At 37.0% G+C, this 19,341-nt stretch overlaps 1 protein-coding gene across 20 annotated transcripts in view, besides 1 other annotated feature; it reads left to right on the top strand.

Moving 5' to 3' along the window:
• Positions 1–19,341, top strand: part of GPHN (gephyrin) — a 1,227,209-nt gene that overhangs the window by 82,369 nt on the left and 1,125,499 nt on the right. The gene's annotated exons all lie outside the window — the stretch shown is intronic.
• Positions 2,514–2,683: an enhancer, noted in NCBI's record as "experimental_35661 CRE fragment used in MPRA reporter constructs". NCBI's record gives its function as "activates a minimal promoter by MPRAs in K562 erythroleukemia cells, with activity observed for the introgressed 14:67059832 variant allele {active_cell/tissue: K562}" and the evidence as "EXISTENCE:reporter gene assay evidence [ECO:0000049][PMID:34662402]".

Genomic DNA, 19,341 nt, shown 5'->3' on the forward strand with positions numbered 1-19,341 from the left:
ATATAAACATCTCTACTCAAATAAACTGCAAAATCTAGAAGAAATGGATAAATTCCTGGACGCATACACCCTCCCAAGACTAAACCTGGAAGAAGTTGAATCCCTGAATAGACCAATAACAAGTTCTGAAATTGAGGCAGTAATTAATAGCCTACCAACCAAAAAATACCCAGGACCAGACAGATTCACAGCCAAATTCTACCAGAAGTACAAAGAGGAGCTGGTACCATTCCTTCTGAAACTGTTCCAAACAAGAGAAAGAGAAGGAATCCTCCCTAACTCATTTTTTGAGACCAGTATCATCCTGATACCAAAACTTGGCAGAGACACAACAAAAAAAGAAAATTTCAGGCCAATATCCCTGATATGAACATCAATGCAAAAATCCTCAATAAAATACTGGCAAACCGAATCCAGCAGCACATCAAAAATCTTATCCACCATAATCAAGTCGGCTTTATCTCTGGGATGCAAGGCTGGTTTAACCTATGCAAATCAATAAACACAATCCATTATGTAAACCGAAGCAACGATGAAAACCACATGATTATCTCAATAGATGCAGAAAAGGCCTCCGATAAAATTCAAGAGCCTTCATGCTAAAAACTCTCAATAAACTTGGTATTGATGAAACATATCTCAAAATAATAAGTGCTATTTATGACAAACCCGCAGCCAATATAATACTGAATGGGCAAAAGCTGGAAGCATTCCCTTTGAAAACTGGCACAAGGCAAGGATGCCCTCTCTCACCACTCCTATTCAACATAGTATTGGAAGTTCTGGCCAGGGCAATCAGGCAAGAGAAAGAAATAAAGGGTATTCAAATAGGAATAGAAGACGTCAGATTGTCTCTCTTTGCAGATAACATGACTGTATATTTTGAAAACCCCATCGTCTCAGCCCAAAATCTCCTTAAGCTGATAAGCAACTTCAGCAAACTCTCAGGATACAAAATCAATGTGCAAAAATCACAAGAATTTCTATACATCAATAATAGAGAAACAGAGAGTGAAATCTTGAGTGAACTCCCATTCACAATTGCTACAAAGAGAATAAAACACTAAGAATACAACTTACAAGGGATGTGAAGGACCTCTTCAAGTACAACTACAAACCACTGCTCAAGGAAATAAGAGAGGACACAAAGAAATGGAAAAACATTCCAAGCTCATGGATAAGAAGAATCAATATCGTGAAAATGACCATACTGCCCAAAGTAATTTATAGATTAAGTGCTATCCCAATCAAGCTACCATTAACTTTCTTCACAGAATTAGAAAAAACTACTTTAAATTTCATATGGAACCAGAAAAGAGGCTATATAGCCAAGACAATCCTAAGCAAAAAGAACAAAGCTGGAGGCATCATGCTACCTGAATTCAAACTGTACTACAAAGGCTACAGTAACTAAAACAGCATGTTACTGGTACCAAAACAGATATATAGGCTAATGGAACAGAATGGAGTCCTTAGACATATCACCACACATCTACAGCCATCTTATCTTTGGCAAACTTGACAAAAGCAATGGGGAAACGATTCCCTATTTAATAAATGGTGTTGGGAAAACTGGCTAGCCATATGCATAAAAGTGAAACTAGACTCCTTCCTTACACCTCATACAAAAATTAACTCAAGATGGATTAAATACTTAAATGTAAGACCTAAAACCATAAAAACTCTAGAAGAAAACCTAGGCAATACCATTCAGGACATAGGCATGGGCAAGGACTTCATGTCTAAAACACCAAAAGCAATGGCAGCAAAAGCCAAAATTGATAAATGGGATCTAATTAAAGTAAAGAGCTTCTGCACAGCAAAAGAAACTATCATCACAGTGAACAGGCAGACTACAGAATGGGAGAAAATTTTTGCAATCCATCCATCTGACAAAGGGCCAATATCCAGAATCTAGAAGAAACTTAAACAAATATACAAGAAAAAAAAAAAAACCCCGTCAAGAAGTGGGCGAAGGATAGAACAGATATTTCCCAGAAGAAGACATTTGTGTGGCCAAAAAACATATGAAAAAAGCTCATCATCTTTCGTCACTAGAGAAATGCAAATCAAAACCACAATGTGATACCATCTCATGCCAGTTAAAATGGCTATCATTAAAATGTCAGGAAACTACAGATGCTGGAGTGGATGTGGAACAATAGGACCACTTTTACACTGTTGGTCAGAGTGTGAATTAGTTCAACCATTGTGGAAGACACTGGTGATTCCTCAAGGATCTAGAACCAGAAATACCACTTGACCCAGCAGTCCCATTACTGGGTATATACCCAAAGGATTATAAATCATTCTACTATAAGGACACATGCACACATACGTTTATTGCAGCAATATTCACAATAGCAAAGACTTAGAACCAACCCAAGTGTCCATCAGTGAAAGACTGGATAAATCAAATTTGGCACATGTACATCATGGAATACTATGGAGCCATAAAAACGATGAGTTCATGTCCTTTGCAGGGACGTGGATGAAGCTGGAAACTATCATTCTCAGATAACTAACACAGAAAGAGAAAACCAAACACTGCATGTTCTCACTCATAAATGGGAGTCAAACAATGAGAGCACATGGACACAGGGCGTGGAATATCACACACTGGGGCCTGTCTGGGGGTTGTGGGCTAGGGAAAGGATAGCATTAGGAGAAATACCTAATGTAGATGACAGGTTGATGGGTGCAGCAAACCACCATAGCATGTGTATGTATACCTATGTAACAAACCTGCACGTTTTGCACATGTATCCCAGAACTTAAAGTATTTAAAAAAAAAAAAAAACAAACAACTGTCCGATACTGGGCAATTTATCAATAAAAGAGGTTTAGTTGACTCACAGTTCTGCATGCTTGTGGAGCCCTCAGGAAACTTACAATTATGGCAGAAGGGGAAGCAGGCATGTCTTACATGGCATCAGGCAAGAGAGCATGTAATGGAAGCAAAGGGGGAAGAGCCCCTTATAAAACCATAAGATCTTATGAGAACTCACTATCATGAGAACAGCATAGGGGAATCCATGCCCAAGATCCAGTCACCTCCCACCAGGTCTCTTTCTCAACACCCAGGGATTACAGGGATTACAATTTGAGATGAGATTTGGGTGGGGACACAAAGCCAAATCATATCAAAGATTTACCTCTAAACATAATAAAGACAATATACCACAAGCCCATAGTGAGTATTATGCTCAGCACTGAAAAGTTGAAGGCCTTTTTCCTAAGATGAGGAACAAGACATGGGTACTCACCCTCACTTTTGTTCAACACAGTACTGAAAGTACTAACCAGAACAGTTAGGCAAGTCAAAGAAATAAAAAGGATTCAAATTGGAAAGGAAGAAGTAAAATTGTCTTTCCTTATAGATAACATAACCTTATATATAGAAAAGCTTAAAGACTCCACCAAAAACCTGTTAAAATTGATTAATAAATTCCATAAAGTTGTAGATTACAAAATCAACATACAATTTTTAGTAGCATTTCTATACAGTAACATCAAATTGCCTCAAAAGGAAATTGAGAACACAATCCTATTTACAGTAGTTTCAAAAATAAATTAGGTATAAATTTACCCAAAGAGGTAAAAACTCTGTAAGCAGAAAACTATAAACCATTTATGAAAGAAATTTAGGGAGATAAAATAAAAGGAAAGATATCCCATGTTCATGAATTGAAAGGATGAACATTGTTAAAGTGTCTCTACTTCCCAAAGTTATCTACAGATTCCATGCAACCCCCGTCAAAAACTCCAATGACATATTCCCCAGAAATAGAAAAAAAAAATCCTAAAATTTGTATGACATCACAAACACTTCAAAATAGCTAGAGCAATGTTGAGTAAAAAGGATAAAACTGGAGGCCTCATAGTGCGTGCTTTGAAAATCTACTACAAAGCTGTGTTAATCAAAACAGCATGGTGCTGGCATAAAAGCAGACACACAGACTTACAGGATAGAATGGAAAAGCCAGAAAAAAATCCACACATTTATCGCCAATTGATTGTTGATAAAAACGCCAAGATCACACAATGGGGGAAGGGCAGTCTCATCAATAAATGGTCGTAGGGAAACTGGGTGTTCACTTGCAGAAGAATAATATTAGACTCCCATCTCACATCATATATATATAAATCATCTCAAAATGGATTAAATGCTTAAATGTAAGACCTAAAACTGTGAAAGTAGTAAATAAATCATAGGAGAAAAGCTCTCTGTCATTGGTATGATCACACGTACTTTGGATATAACCCCCAAAGCACAGACGACAAAAGTACAAATAGACAAATAGGATGACATCAAACTAAAAAGCTTCTGCACAGCAAAGGAAACAGAATGAAGAGAAAACCTGTGGAAAAGGAGAAAGTATGTGAGACCATATGTCTGATAAGGAATTAATATCCAGAATATATGAGGAACTTGAAAGTAAGAAAACAATCTGATATAAAAACATGCAAAGGACCTATATAAACATTTTTGAAAATAAGACATATAATTGGCCAACAGGTTTATGAAAAAGTGATGAACATTACTGATCATCAGGAAAATGCAAATTATAACTCTAATGAGATACTGTCTTATAGCTGTTAGAGTGGCTACTTTAAAAAAGACCGAAGGTAAGTATTAGCAAGGTTATGGAGAAAAGAGAACCCTTGAAGACTGTTGGTTGGGTTGTAAATTAGTATTACAGCCATAATTGTAAACAGTATGGAGGTATCTCAAAAATAAGAAGTAGAACTATCATGTCATCCAACAATTTTACTATTTAGTGTATGTCCAAAGGAAATCATATCAGTATCTCAAAGAGATGCCTGTATTTCTGTCACGGCATCCTTGGAGTGTTACTTTTCTAGCTGGGAACCTCTGTGGCTGGTATTGCCTTTGTCTGAATTTTGCTTGGGCCTGCTTGGCTTGTTCTGCCTACTCTGCCTGGCAGGATACACTCTGCTCGCACTAACAGCCTGCCAAGGGTGAGCCAGGTACGGAGTGGTGAGGGGTGTGTGAGTTAGCGTGTGATCTGGCCACTGCACACAGCCAGGCACACTAGTTGTGGTGTGGTGGACAGCTCCAGGTGCCGGCACCCTGCAAGGCTGTGGCTCAATGAGGCTTACTGCAAGCAGCTTCCATGGCTGCCACTGGGGTAGGCAGTGGTGCCTGGAAGCTTGGAGACTTCAGGAACTGCAGAGCCCCATTGAGGGTGTCACAGCTCTGGCTTGGGGAGCTCTTAAGTCTGGGCTCCCTGAAGTGCTACAGCTCTTCTCTCCTTCTTGTCACCTGCAACGTGGCAAGCAAGGGGCGTGTTTCAGCCCTGTTTGTGTTACTGCTCTTTCAGTCGTGCCGTTCCGCAGGTCCTGAGTTCTTGTCCTGTGTCCAGGAAGAATGAGTTATGTGGACAAGTGGAGGGTGAACAAGGTGAAGAGATCCTTTATTGAGTGACAGAACAGCTTAAAGGAGACCCACAGTGGGTAGCTCCTCTCTGCAGGCAGGGCATCCTGACAAGTGTTCAGCTCTCAGCAGAGAGGAGACCCATAGTGGGTAGCTTCTCTCCACAGGCAGGTTGTCCCATCATCTGCTCAGCTCTCAGCAGAGAGGAGACCCTCAGTGGGTGGCTCTTTTCTGCTGGCAGATTGTCCTGTCATCTGCTTGAGTTTGGCTGAGTCCAGGGTTTCTATGGGCTTCAGAGGGGAGGAAGTGCATGCTGATTGGTCCATGGAAAGCCATGGGCAGGCCCAGAAAAAGCACCAGAAGTTCTCCCTCCAGTCCATGGCACTGGCAGTCCAGTCCCCAAACCTCAGGCTGTCTCTGACCTGAAGATGAGGTTTCACCAGGTACCTGCCCCTTTCCATCTAGGCCTGTCTGCCTCCTGCTGCCATTAACCTGCCATCCACGGTGCCCATGGTGCCCAGGCTGTTTGTGCTGAATGTTGCCTGCAGGCCTGCATCAAGCCACTCTTAGCCCCCTGTCAGCCTTTCTCCCATCCTCTTTGGTACCCAAAGTCTGGAGGGGGCCAAGGCATGAGGGGGCTGGTGTGTCATAGCTGCCCTGAATGTGTGCACACCTGGCTGATTCATGACAGTGCCCAGGCTTGGCCACAACTTTGCTTCAAAATTGGAGCGGGTGTTTGTAGTGGGTGCTTGGAGTGGGGAGAGGCTAGGCAGCAGGAGCAGTCACTTACAAGCTTGTGGGTCAGCAGGGCTTCCTGGGTCCCCAAGAGTGTAGAGATGCCCGGGTTTGCAGCCACAGCTTGACGGCTACAACTGCGCCCGGGGGGCGGGGCTCCCACCTGTTTAACTTGGAATGGGCTGGGAGCTTCCACCTGTTCTTGGTTCCTGCTGGCTCCGTGGAGTGCACAGCCCCAGCTGTGCCTCCCCCACTGCATCTGGTGTCATTGATGATGCCAGGGATTGATTGACACCATTCCAGACAGGCTGCCGCTGCCTTCAGTCCCTGCTCTGAAGAGGTACATCTGCTGCCATTAGGATAGGGACAATGACTGCTCTTAACTGCTTCATGCTGACAGGGGGCATTGTTTATGGGGAAAATGGCAGTTATGTCTTCTTAGAGGCCCTATCTAAGGGTCCCTAGTAAAAGTAAAAGGGAGCCATCAGCCAAGTTTCCATTTGCATGACCATTTGGAGTTTGATGGCCCGAAGGCGAGAAGAGACAAACCGGGTTATTGGAAGACATGGATCAAAACAAAACAAAGGGGTAAGGACAGCTCAAAAACCCTGAGGCTACTCACATGCTCAAAATTAGAATATTGATCCAGATTTTTTATATTACGCATCCCTTTTGTCTCTTCTGAGCCGTAGTCAGAAATCACTGGTTGGTTCACAAGAGCAAGCTGGGTTAGTCTAAAATGCAGACCAAAACTTAAAAACAAAGTCCGGAGGGGGCTGAGGCAGCATGGAGCTGGCGTATCAGCACTGCCCCAAGCGTGCACATACCCAGCTATGTCATGACAGTGCCCAGGCTTGGCCACAACGTTGCTCCAAAATTAGAGTGGGTGCCAGGAGTGGGGAGAGGCCAGGCAGCAGGAGCAGACTCTTGCGAGACTGCAGGAGTGTCTTCCTAGGCCCTTGAGAGTGCAGAAATGCCTGGGTCTGCAGCTGTGGCTGGGTGGCTGCAGCTGCACCCAGGAGGGTAGGGCTCCTGCCCCTTCAACTTGGAAGTGGGCAGGGCTTCCACCTGTTCCTGGCTCTTGCAGCTTTGTGGAGTCCACAAGCTCCAGCCTTACCTCCCACACTGCAGCTGGCATCATGGCAGTGGCCACTCCAGATGCCCCACTACTACCATCACTTCCATGTTCATTGTGGCGTTATTTCCAATAGCCAAGATGTGGAATCAATCTAAGTGTCCATTAATGGGTGAATGGATGAAGAAAACATGTTATATATACACAGTGAAATATCATTCACCCTTAACAAAAGAAGGAAATCCTGTCATTCTCAACATCATGGATCAACCTGTAGGACATTATGTTAAGTGAAATAAGTCAGGCACAGAAAGACATACTCATGATCTTACTTATTATAAGTGTAGTGTAAAAATGTTGACCTCATAGAAACAGTGAAATGTTGATTATCAGAGGCTAGGGTGTGGGAGGAATTAGGGAGATGTTGGTTAAAAGACAGAAAAATTTATTTAAAGTGGAGGAATAAATTCAAAGACTTGTAAATCATGGTGACTGCAGTTAATAACAATATGTTGTATATTTGAAAATTGCTAAGACAGTAGATTTTAAGTGTTCGTACCAGAAGAAATGATAAGTATGTAAGGTAATGTATATGTTAAATAGCTTGATTTAGCCATTCTACAGGTATCAAAGCATCATGTTTTATATTATAAATATATATAATCAGTTAAAAAAAAGTACTGAGACTCTGAGAAAGGCATTAGTTAATTTGCCCATAGTTTTATATTTAGTGAATCCAGTGGTCTTACTTCAGATGTGTATTCTTAGCCAAAAGATGCACTTGCTTTCACCTCCACTTCTGTCCCTAAAAACTGAAAAGCAAAATAAAGAGGTGGAAAGAGGCTGGGTGCGGTGGCTCATGCCTGCAATCCCAGCACTTTGGGAGGCCAACATGGGCAGATCACGAGGTCAGGAGTTCAAGACCAGCCTGACCAACATGGTGAAACCCCATCTCTACTAAAAATACAAAAATTAGCTGGGCGTGGTGGCGCATGCGTGTAATCCCAGCTACTCAGGTGGCTGAGGCAGGAGAATCGCTTGACCACGGAGGTTGCAGTGAGCTGAGATCAGCGCCACTGCACTCCAGCCTGGGCTACAGAGTGAGACTCTGTCTCAAAAAAAAAAAAAAAAAGGAAAGAAATTCAGTAGCCATTTCATTCAGCCTTGCAGTTGATGCAGTCTTTAGCTAAACACTGGGATAGTTTGGGAGGGAAGGCCGTAGTTTGGGAGGGAAGGCCGTTAGTACAATTTTTTTATACGTTGTGCATAAGAAGCTTTTGAGTCATGGATCTTTGATAATTACTTTCAGTAGTAACGTATCCTCGGTAATTTTTTTTACTTTCAGTAATAACATATCCTAGACAAATTTTATGCATTTTTTTCCATACTTGAAAGAAACTTTTTATTAAAAAATAGTATTAATAACGGAGCATAATCTGGTAGGAGTGTTCATTACTACTGTTTTATTGTTTTTAAGTTTTTTCCATGGGTAGAGTAGGAAACACGCATTTTTGGAGAGAAAAACATGAATCCCAAATTTATCCTCATTCCAATTTAAGATAAAGATTTTGAGGGATTTTATTTACCACTTTGGTCTTACCCTTTTTGTATATCTTTTTCTTTTATTATCCTTTTACCTCTGTTCTCTGATTTTACATTTTTTTTTGCATTTTTTTTTTTTTTTTGCTAGATGCAGGCCTAGGTATTTTATTTTACTTTTCGTTATACAGTCTTCTCGATTATTTTAACTAAGCAGGTTTTTTTGGATGGTGGGAGGAGAAGGAGAAAACATTAAGTTGTCTGCTTCTTATTTATTTTACATATTGCTTATAATTCTCTTGTGAATTATTTTAGGGTTTTTATTGGTTGTTTTTGTTTTTGCCTTCCTGATATAAAAATTATATTGCTTGCAAATAAAGATTACTTTCCTTCTTTTTCTTCCATTTTTGGCCTCTAATGTTTTCTTTACTTGTGTTGTTTAAGATATTAAATAATAGAAGAGATAGTGGACATCCTTGTCTTATTCCTTATTTTAATGAGAAAGTACCTAACATTTCCAATTTAGTAAGTTGCTGGCTAATTGGGAAGTACAGACACATGTGTATATCTATATATCTGTATATCTATATCTATATCTATATGTATTCAGGCTAAAAAATACCTCTTAATTTCTATGTAAACGTTAAAATTTTTATTTTGGTAATTATGTATGATGTTGAATTATGTCACTTGAATTTTTAGCAGTTATGAAAATGAACATATAATCTTCTGTTAATATAATGGATTTTATTAATGCATTTTTAATATTAGAAACCTTTGAATTTCTGGCATGTACCCCTCTTTCAAATGTTTTTTAGTGTTTTGGATTCTTTTGCATATTATCTCATTTAAAGTTTTTGCATCATTATTCTTCAGTGTGTTTGATTTGTACAGTTTTCTGTGCAGTTTTGTGAAGTTTTGGGGCCAATGTTATATATCTGTTATATAAAAATAATTTGGAAATTTTCTTCCTTTTTAAAACCTAGTCCTTATTTTTATTTTATTCAGGCACTGTTTTAACAGATGATCAAGTACCTACCATGTGCTATTAACAATAAAATTGTAATGGTAGTTAATAGTTCCTTAGCTCTTAACTATATATTTGTCAGTATTCTAAGTACAGTTGATTCTCACTGCTTGAAGTAGATTTGTTCTGTGACGTAGCAGTGAATAATAAATTAGCTCTTACTGGAATTACAATGTTAGGTTCCTGTAAGCCTCTGGTCACAACATTTTTGTTCACCTATCAATACGTAACTTTTAAAAAATGTGTATTTCTGTTTAAAGACAACTTATTTAAAATATGTATTGTTGATTCATTAATATTGAACTCATGTCCCACAGCAGTATGACTCATGCCTGAAGGAAGCTTTTGTAACACACATATTTTCTCCTTAAGGCATATCACAGGCGTCTTGTGCTTAGGAACACTAGATAGCACTTGGGCATTCTAAATAGCCAAATCATCAACAAAAAGCACAAAAATGAGAACATTGTTGCACTTAATAGACTGTGAAAAGAATAATCCTTTATAGTATGAGAGCAGAAACAAAGCAGAGCATTTGTTCAGTTTCAGCTGATAGGATGCAAATCAGGTGACTCAAAATTCTCCTCCTCCTGCACATTTCCACAAATTATTGCCAAAGTGCTACGAATATTGATGTTGGGATACAAATAAATTTTATTGAGTAGACAAATTCATAAATGCGGAATCTGTGGATGAGGATTGATCGTATTTCTTTGTATTTAATATGTGTTCATTTATTGGTCATAGCAATCCTATGAGGTAGGTATTATAACACATACTATACAATAAAGAGGTTAAGTTCCTTGTACAGTGTTGAACAATCAATGAGTGTTTGAGGACACCACCAAAGTAGTATAACTGATACCAAGACATGTTGTTTACCCTTAGGAGCTATTTCTATCTAAAAGCGTTAAAGGTGTTTTGCTCAAATAACTAAATTTAAGGTAGTTTGAAATAAGTAGCATAAGTGTAGTGCTACCAAGATGTAGTGGATATTCAGAGGGAAGATTATTTTGGAGACCACGGAAAGGCTTTAGGTGATGGTTTCTAAATGGAGGCTTTTAGAATCAATAAGATTTCATCAAGTTGGCTTATGAGGATGTAGGAGATGAACTATTTCAGAAGGTACTCATTTTTTACATCAAATACGTTCAATGATTCTAGTCTTTTGGGAATAGGAAAGTGATGGTGAAGGGGCAACCTCTTTAGTTTTCAGTTTTCGGGATTCATATACTCACTCTATGACCATTTTTTCCAGTACTATTTAAAAATTTATTCTGCCTTTGTAATACTGGGAACTAAAGCATAGCACCATTAATTGGAAGTCTTAAAGATGAACAAGGCAATGTTTTAATGTAAATGTATGATTTTCTTATTATGGAAGAAGAAAAACCAATAATAGATTGACATTTGTGCAATAGGACTGCAAATAGTGGGTGTTTTGTGGGAGAAAAAATTGTTTCCCAATTTTTTGGGAAAAATTCAAGTAAATATTAAAAATTGCTGAAATACAAAGATTTTCCCCCATATACAATACTTTTGTAATATACTCATCATGTTTTTCAATGCATCTCATTAGCCATACCTCTTAACTGCATTGTAAAAACCAAAAAATTAAGAGGGAATATTTTAAACCAAATATTCTAACTTCAATAGGCATCATAGTGATTATCATTTCAGATTTGGTGTCCTTGTAACTGGGCTGATTTATCATAGGTGGTGGATGTGTAAACTTACCTGTGTATGATCTTGTTGAGGGCAAGAATTGTGGCTTTTCATTTTTTGCGTTTCTGATAACCAGCAAAGTTCCTATCACATAGAAAGCCCTCAGGAAATGTTACTGCCTACCTAAATGAATACTCCAAAACCCTTTATGACTAATAATTTCTATGTAAATATTGTAGATTGTGTTGATCAGTGTTCTTCCATTCTATGTATTAATGTTTTATTTTCAGTGCAACACTGTGAGAGTGATCAAAGTGCAAAAATCCTGTCCTTATATTTAGCTTTATAATCAGAAAACACCATACTAATCCATAATTTTTTTTCACACCATTGGCCTGCTTTTCTTTTTATTGTTAGTTTTGTTTTTATTGTCAGAGAATGTTAGGTAATTTCCCAGCATAACTTTCTCAAGAATATATTTCCTCATTACTGCAGTGAATAACTCAGTGATGTGAAATTAGAAGATAACCTATTCTGTTTCAGCACCAGTGCTTTGACACATATAACTTGAAATGTGAATACGAATTTTGTTTTTTCATGTTAAAGGATTCAATTTTTCATCAGTTACTTAGATCTTCATAAAATCTGAAGTTAGGAAGGAACTTTACTAATTATTAAGTCCTATTCCATTTTAATGCCTGCAATAGTAAATGTTTATTTATGATAAAACTCTGATTAGGTAGTAGGGAAAATTCAAGGTCAAAAGTACAAATTTCTACCAAACTAAAGAAAGAATATGTTAATATGACTTGCAAGCTTGGATTCATATATATTAAGGAGGGGGGTGGAAGATGACAGTTTTAAGAATCACATAGTGTTCAACAAAAAGCCAATAAAAAGTCCTCTCTGTGCCAAGAGTTATTGAACATTTTGAAATAAGAGTTATAAATTAATTCATATATTTCAATATTATCAACATTTGCTCTTGGTCAAGTTCCCCTCCTCTCCCAAGAAGAGATTGTTTTTTGATCCAGTGTTCAATTTTGGTTCTCTCCGTTAAACATATCAAGCTTACAAGACTAAGATAGGTGTCACTGAGAATGTATTTTATTAAAAACAATTGAAAAAATTGTATTCTTAAACATGGGATCATATTTGGAGTCTTGGTGTCTATGAAATCCTCCTGGTACAAAATTTATATATGGATAAAAACTAAAACAGTAGGATTTTGAAATCTTTTAACTTTTAGATTACAAAAAGAATATGGGAAATACAGAAACACACAAGAAGCAAGTTTTAAAATCCCTGTAATCCCTCTATCCAGAAATAGTAATATTTTGATGTATACATTTTCAGGGTTTTTTTGTGTGTGTGTGGTGTATGCACACACATCTATACTATTTTACAAACTTTGAATCATACCGTACGAACACTTTTGTTCCTTGCTTTTTTCAACTTTGTGAACATTTTCCTATGCCACCAAAAATTTAGTTCAAAGTCATTTAAAATGGTTATATAATTTTCCACTGAATGCCTGTATCATAAGTGATCTTCAGCAGTAGGACATTAGATATATAGATATATCCAGTTTTCAATTATGAACTGTTATGCTAAGTATTTTTATGTAGCTTTTTATACACAATTCCTATTTTTGTATGGTGAAGGGAATGGGATTTTAATTCTTATATTGAATGTACCTTGCAACTATACTTCTGTTTTATCTTAGATATTATCAAATGATATATTTAAATATTTATCTTGGTAAATAAATACTTGATAAGTTAGGTCACTTTTGTCACAAACAAAATTTTTAATTTTTTATTCTATTTCTACATAGGTCAGTTGTAGTTGTAATGAAGGAATCATAATTCCTCAAATCTAAAAATTAGAAAGATGGAAACTGATATTTCTTCACATTTAATAGTTTGATTATACATCTTATGATTAATGTTAGTATTATCTGAGACAAATATTTCACTGTCCTTTATGTAAAGTTCTTTATGTACATTGTCCACTATGACAAAATATGTCTCTTAATTTAGGTCTTGGGGAATGAACACTTGTTTTTAATATTAGCCTATCAGAGTAAGCACTTTAATTGGATTAGCTCATTTAATTCTCATAACATTGCATGAACTATAGGTAGCATTTTATCCTATTTTATACATGAGGAATTCTGACTCATAGAGTCCTCATGTGTCATAGAGTCCTTTGTAGAGCTGCAAAGTATAGGCAGTAATATAGGTGGTAGTATCATGATTGATTTGTAGGAACTCTGTTACTGGCACCTGCATTTGTAAACATCTACAGCAGGAATGTATGCCATTTAATGCTTTTGTTTTTTTTCTTCTACTCTAATTGAAGATTATTTTCCAAAGTTATTCTCTTAACAAAAATTGAAAAATATACTATATAGAATATGTATATAGATATTTGTATGCATATGTATGTGTACGCATTCGGGTATGAATAGAAATCCACAAACCTAACTGAATAGTTGCTTTGCAGACACTTGGTTATGAAACACTATCCACTGACCGAAATATTTTTTCTGGCTATAATTTTGGAGTATAATTAAAATATAAACTTGTAAGTTCCTCTTTTTAAAAAGATACTTTAGAAAAACAGATTTTACTCTTTTCATTAGAAAAATATTCCAATATGTAACAGTATATATACTCAGAAATGCATATGTCTGATTTAAAATGATTTATTCTTTAGTTTTAAGCCTATGTATATATTTTAAAAATAATTTCTTATTTTAGGTTCGGGGGTACATGTACAGATTTGTTACATGGGTATATTGCATGATGCTGAGGTTTGGGATATAGATGATCCTGTCACCCAGGTACTGAGCATAATATCTGATAGGTAGTTTTTCAGCCCATTTCCCCCTCCCTCCCCCCTCCCTCCTTTAGACAACTCTAAATGTCTATTGTTCTCATCTTTCTGTCCATATGTATTCCGTTATTTAGGTCACGCTTACAAGTGAGAACATACAGTATTTGGTTTTCTGTTCCTGTGTTAATTAGGATAATGGCCTCCAGCCACATCCATGTTGCTGCAAAGGACACATTTCAGTCTTTTTATGGCTGCGTAGTATTCCATGGTGTATATGTGCCACATTTGCTTTATCGACTCTACCATCGATGGGCACCTAGGTTGATTCCATATCTTTGCGATCGTGAATAGTGATGCAGTGAACATATCGGTGCATATGTCTTTTTTTAGGATAATTTATTTGCCTTTGGGTATATACCCAGTAATGGGATGGCTGGGTCAAACAGTAGTCCTGTTGTAAGTTTTTGAGACATCTCTCAACTGCTTTCCACAGTGGCTGAACTAACTTGCATTCCCACCAAGAGTGTATATGTGTTCCCTTTTCTCCCCAGGCTTGTCAGCATTTATTATTTTTTGACTTTTTAATAATCACCATTCTGACTGGTGTAAGATGGTATATTGTTGTAGTTTTGATTTGCATTTCTCTGATGATTAGTGATGATGAACATTTTTCATTTATTTCTTGGCCACTTACAATGTCTTCTTTTGATAAGTGTCTATATCCTTTGCCGATTTTTTTTTTTTTTTTTTTTGAGACGGAGTCTCACTCTGTCGCCCAGACTGGAGTGCAGTGGCAGGATCTCAGCTTACTGCAATCTCTGCCCCCCAGGTTAACACCATTTTCCTGCCTCAGCCTCCCGAGTAGCTGGGAGTATAGGTGCCTGCCACCAAGCCCGGCTAATTTTTTCTATTTTGTTTAGTAGAGACGGGGTTTCACTGTGTTAGCCAGGATGGTCTCGATCTCCTGACCTCTTGATCTGCCCGCCTCGGCCTCCCAAAGTGCTGGGATTACAGGTGTGAGCCACCGCACCTGGCCCCATTTTTTAAAGGAGTTATTTGTTTTTTGCTTGTTGATTTAAGTTTCTTATAGATTCTGGATATTAGACCTTTGTCAGATGCATAGTTTGTGAATATTTTCTCCCATTCTCTAGGCTGTTTACTGTTGATAATTTATTTTTCTGTGCAGAGCTATTTAGTTTAATTAGGTCCCACTTGTCAATTTTCATTTTTGTTGCAATTGCTTTTGGGGACTTAGTCATAAATTCTTTGCCAAACCTGATGTCAAGAAGTGCATTTCCTAGGTTTTCTTGTAGGATTTTTGTAGTTTGAGGTCTTATCTTTACATCTTTAATCCATCTTGGGTTAATTTTTGTATGCGGTGAAAGGTAGAGACTAGCTTCATTCTTCTGCATGTGGCTAGACAGTTATCCCAGCACCATTTATTGAACAGGGAGTCCTTTCCTCATTGCTTCCTTTTGTTGACTTTGTTGAAAATCAGATGGTTATGGGTGTATGGCTTTATTTCTGGGTTCTTTGTTCTGTTCCATTGGTCTATGTGTCTGTTTTTGTACCAGTCCCGTGCTATTTTGGTTACTATAGCCTTATAGTATAGTTTGAAGTCAGGTAGTGTTCTTTTTGCTTAGTATTGCCTTGGCGATTTGGGATCTGCTTTTGTTCCATGTGAATATTAGAATAGGCTTTTCTAATTTTGCAAAAAATGATGTTGGTAGTTTGATAGAAATAGCATTGAATTTATAAATTGCTTTGACCAGTATGGCCATTTTAACAATATTGATTCTTCCAATTCATGGGCATGGAATATATTTCCATTTATTTGTCTTGTCTCTCATTTATTTCAGCAGTGTTTTGTAGTTCTTGTAGAGATCTTTCACCTCTTTGGTTAGATGTATGCATAGGTTTTTGCTATTGGAAATTGGTGTGTGTTCTTGATTTGGCTCTCAGGTAGAATGTTTTTGGTGTATAGAAGTGCTATTGATTTTTGTACATTGATTTTGTATCCTTATTTATCAGTTCCAGGAGCCTTTTGGCAGCATCTTTAATGTTTTCTAGGTATGGAATCATATCATCACTGAAGAGAGGTAATATGACTTCCTTTCCTATTTGAATGTATTTTATTTCTTTCTTTTGTCTGATTATTCTGACTAGCACTTTCAGTACTATGTTGAATAGGAGTGTTGAGAGTGGGCAGCCTTGTCTCATTCTAGTTCTCAAGGAGAATGACTCCGGCTTTTGCCCATTCAGTATGATGTTGGCTGTGGGTTTTTCATTGTGAGAATGAATAATAAGAATGAATAAGGTTTTTCATTCTTATTATTGTGAGGTATGTTCCTTCGAAGCCTTGTTTGTTGAGGGTTTTTATCATAAAGAGATGTTGGATTTTGTAGAAAGCTTTTTCTTGTCTATTGAGATGATCATATGCTTTTTGTTTTTGATTCTGTTTATGTGGTGAATCACATTTATTGATGTGCATATGTTGAACCAACCCTGCATCCAAGAATACAGCCTACTCGATCATGGTGAATTAACTTTTTAATGTGCTGCTGGATTCATTTCGCTAGTTTTTTTTTGTATTTTTGTGTTTTTTTTTGTTTTTTTAGGGTTTTGTGTTTGTGTTCATTTGGGATATTGGCCTGAAGTTTTCTTTTTTGTTGTGTCTTTGCCAGATTTTGGTATCAGGATAATTCTGGCCTTGTAGAATGAGTTAGGGAGCAGGGGGAGTCCCTCCTCCTCAATTTTTTTGAATATTTTCAGTAGGATTGGTGCCAGTTCTTATTTGTATGCCTGGTAGAATTCAGTGTGAATCCTTCTAGTCCATGGCTTTTTTTTTGTTGGTAGGTTTTTAATTACTGACTCAAATTTGGAACTTGTTATTGGTCTTTTCAGGTTTTCACTTTCTTCCTGGTTCAATCTTTGGAGGTTGTGTGTTCCCATAAATTTATTTCCTCTAGATTTCTTATTTGTGTTCATAGAGATGTTCATAATAGTCTCTGAGGATGTTTTGTATTTCTGTGGGATCAGTTGTAATGTCATCTTTGTCATTTCTGTTTGTGCTTATTTGGATCTTCCCTTTTTCTCCTTTGTTAATCTAATGAGAAGTCTGTCAATCTTTTTTATTCTTCCGATAAACCTACTCTTCTTTCCATTGATCTTTTGTATGGATTTTTGTGTCTTAATTTAATTCAGTTCTGATCTTAATTATTTCTTTTCTTTTATTAGCTTTGTGGTTTTTTTTTTTTTTCTAGTTCCTCTAGGTACAAAGTTAGATTGTTAATTTGAGATCTTTCTAATTTTTGATGAATGCATTTGGCACCGTAAACTTTCCTCTTAACATGCTGTAGTTCCATCCCAAAGATTTTGTTAATATGTGGTTCTGTTTTTGTGAATTTCGAATAGTTTTTTGGTTTCTGCCTTCATTTCATTATTTCCCCAAAACTTATTCAAGAGCAAATTCCTTCCTTTTCATGTATATGTGTAGCTTTGAGAGATCTTCTTGGTGTTGGTTTTTGTTTTTATTGCACTGTGATGTGAGAACGTGCTTAATATGATTTTGATTTTTTTGAATTTATTGAGACTTGCTTTATGACCAAAACATTTGGTTGATCTTAGAATATGTTTCTTATGCAGATGAGAGAAATGTATATTATGTGATTTTGGGTGGACTATTCTATAGATGTCTATTAGGTCCCATTGGTGGACTGTCAAGATTAAGTCTGGAATTTCTTTGTTAGTTTTCTTCCTCAGTGATCTGTCTAATCCTGTCACTGGGGAGTTGACATCTCCCAGTATTATTATGTGGCTATTGAGGTCTTTTTCTAGGTCAAAAAGGACTTGTTTTATGAATCTGGATGCTCCAATGTTGGGTGTGTATAGACTTAAGGTAGTTAAGTCTTCTTGTTGAATGGAACCCTTTGCCACTATGTAATACCCTTGTTTGCCCTTCTTAATTGTTTTCAGTTTAAAGTCTGCCTTATCTGATATTAGAATTGCAACTCCTGCTCTTTATTGTTTTCCATTTGTATGGCAGTTCTTTTTCCCTTTAATTTTGAGGCTTTCGGTATTGTTACATGTGAGATGCATCTTCTTGAAGACAGCAGACAGTTGGATCTTGTCTTTTTGTCCAGCTTGCCATCCTATGCCTTTTAAGTGGGTCTTTATTCCATTCACATTCTGGGTTGGCATTGATATGTGAAGTTTTGATACAGAAATTGTGTTTTTAGCTGGTTGTTTTGTAGAGTTGTTTGCATAGCTGCTTTATAGTGTCTATGGGCTATATGCTTAATTGTGTTTTTGTGGTATCAGATACTGTTCTTTTACTTTCATGTTTAGCACTCCCTTATGGACTTTTTATAAGGCTGGTCTAGTGGTTACAAATTCTTAGCATTTGAAGCTTACTTTGGTGGGATATGAAATTCTTCATTGGAATTTATTCTTTTTAAGGCTACTGAAAATTGGTTTCCGATCTCTTCTGGCTTGTAAGTTTCTGCTGAGTAGCCCGCTACTATCCTGATGGGGTTTCCTTTATAAGTGACCTGACTCATCTCTCTAGCTGCCTTTAAGATTTTTTCTTTAACATCGGCCTTGGTGAATCTGATGTCTGTGTGTCTTGGGGATGGTCATCTTGTATAAAACTCACAAGAGTTTTCTGTATTTCTTGAATTTGCATGTTGATATCTCTAGTGAGATTGGGGTATTTTTCATAAACTGTATCTTCAAATATGTTTTCAAAGTTGTTTTCTCTCTCAGGAATGCCAATGAATCCTAGGTTTGGTCTCTATATAATCCCATATTTTTCAGAAATTTTTTTCATTTTTAAAATATTCTTTTTTCCTTATTTTTGTCTAAGTTGAATTGAAAGAACTAAACTGGTCTTCAAGCTCTGAGCTTCTTTTCTCAGCTTAGTCTATTCTGCTGTAAATGCTTCTGATTGTACTATGAAGTTCTTGTAGTGAATTTTTCAATTTTAGAAGTTCAGTTCGGTTCTTTTTAAAAATGGCTATTTTGTCTTTCAGCTCTTGGATAGTTCTACTGGATTCCTTTGAT

Source organism: Homo sapiens, chromosome 14, assembly GCF_000001405.40.
Source record: "Homo sapiens chromosome 14, GRCh38.p14 Primary Assembly".
Lineage (NCBI taxonomy): Eukaryota > Metazoa > Chordata > Mammalia > Primates > Hominidae > Homo > Homo sapiens.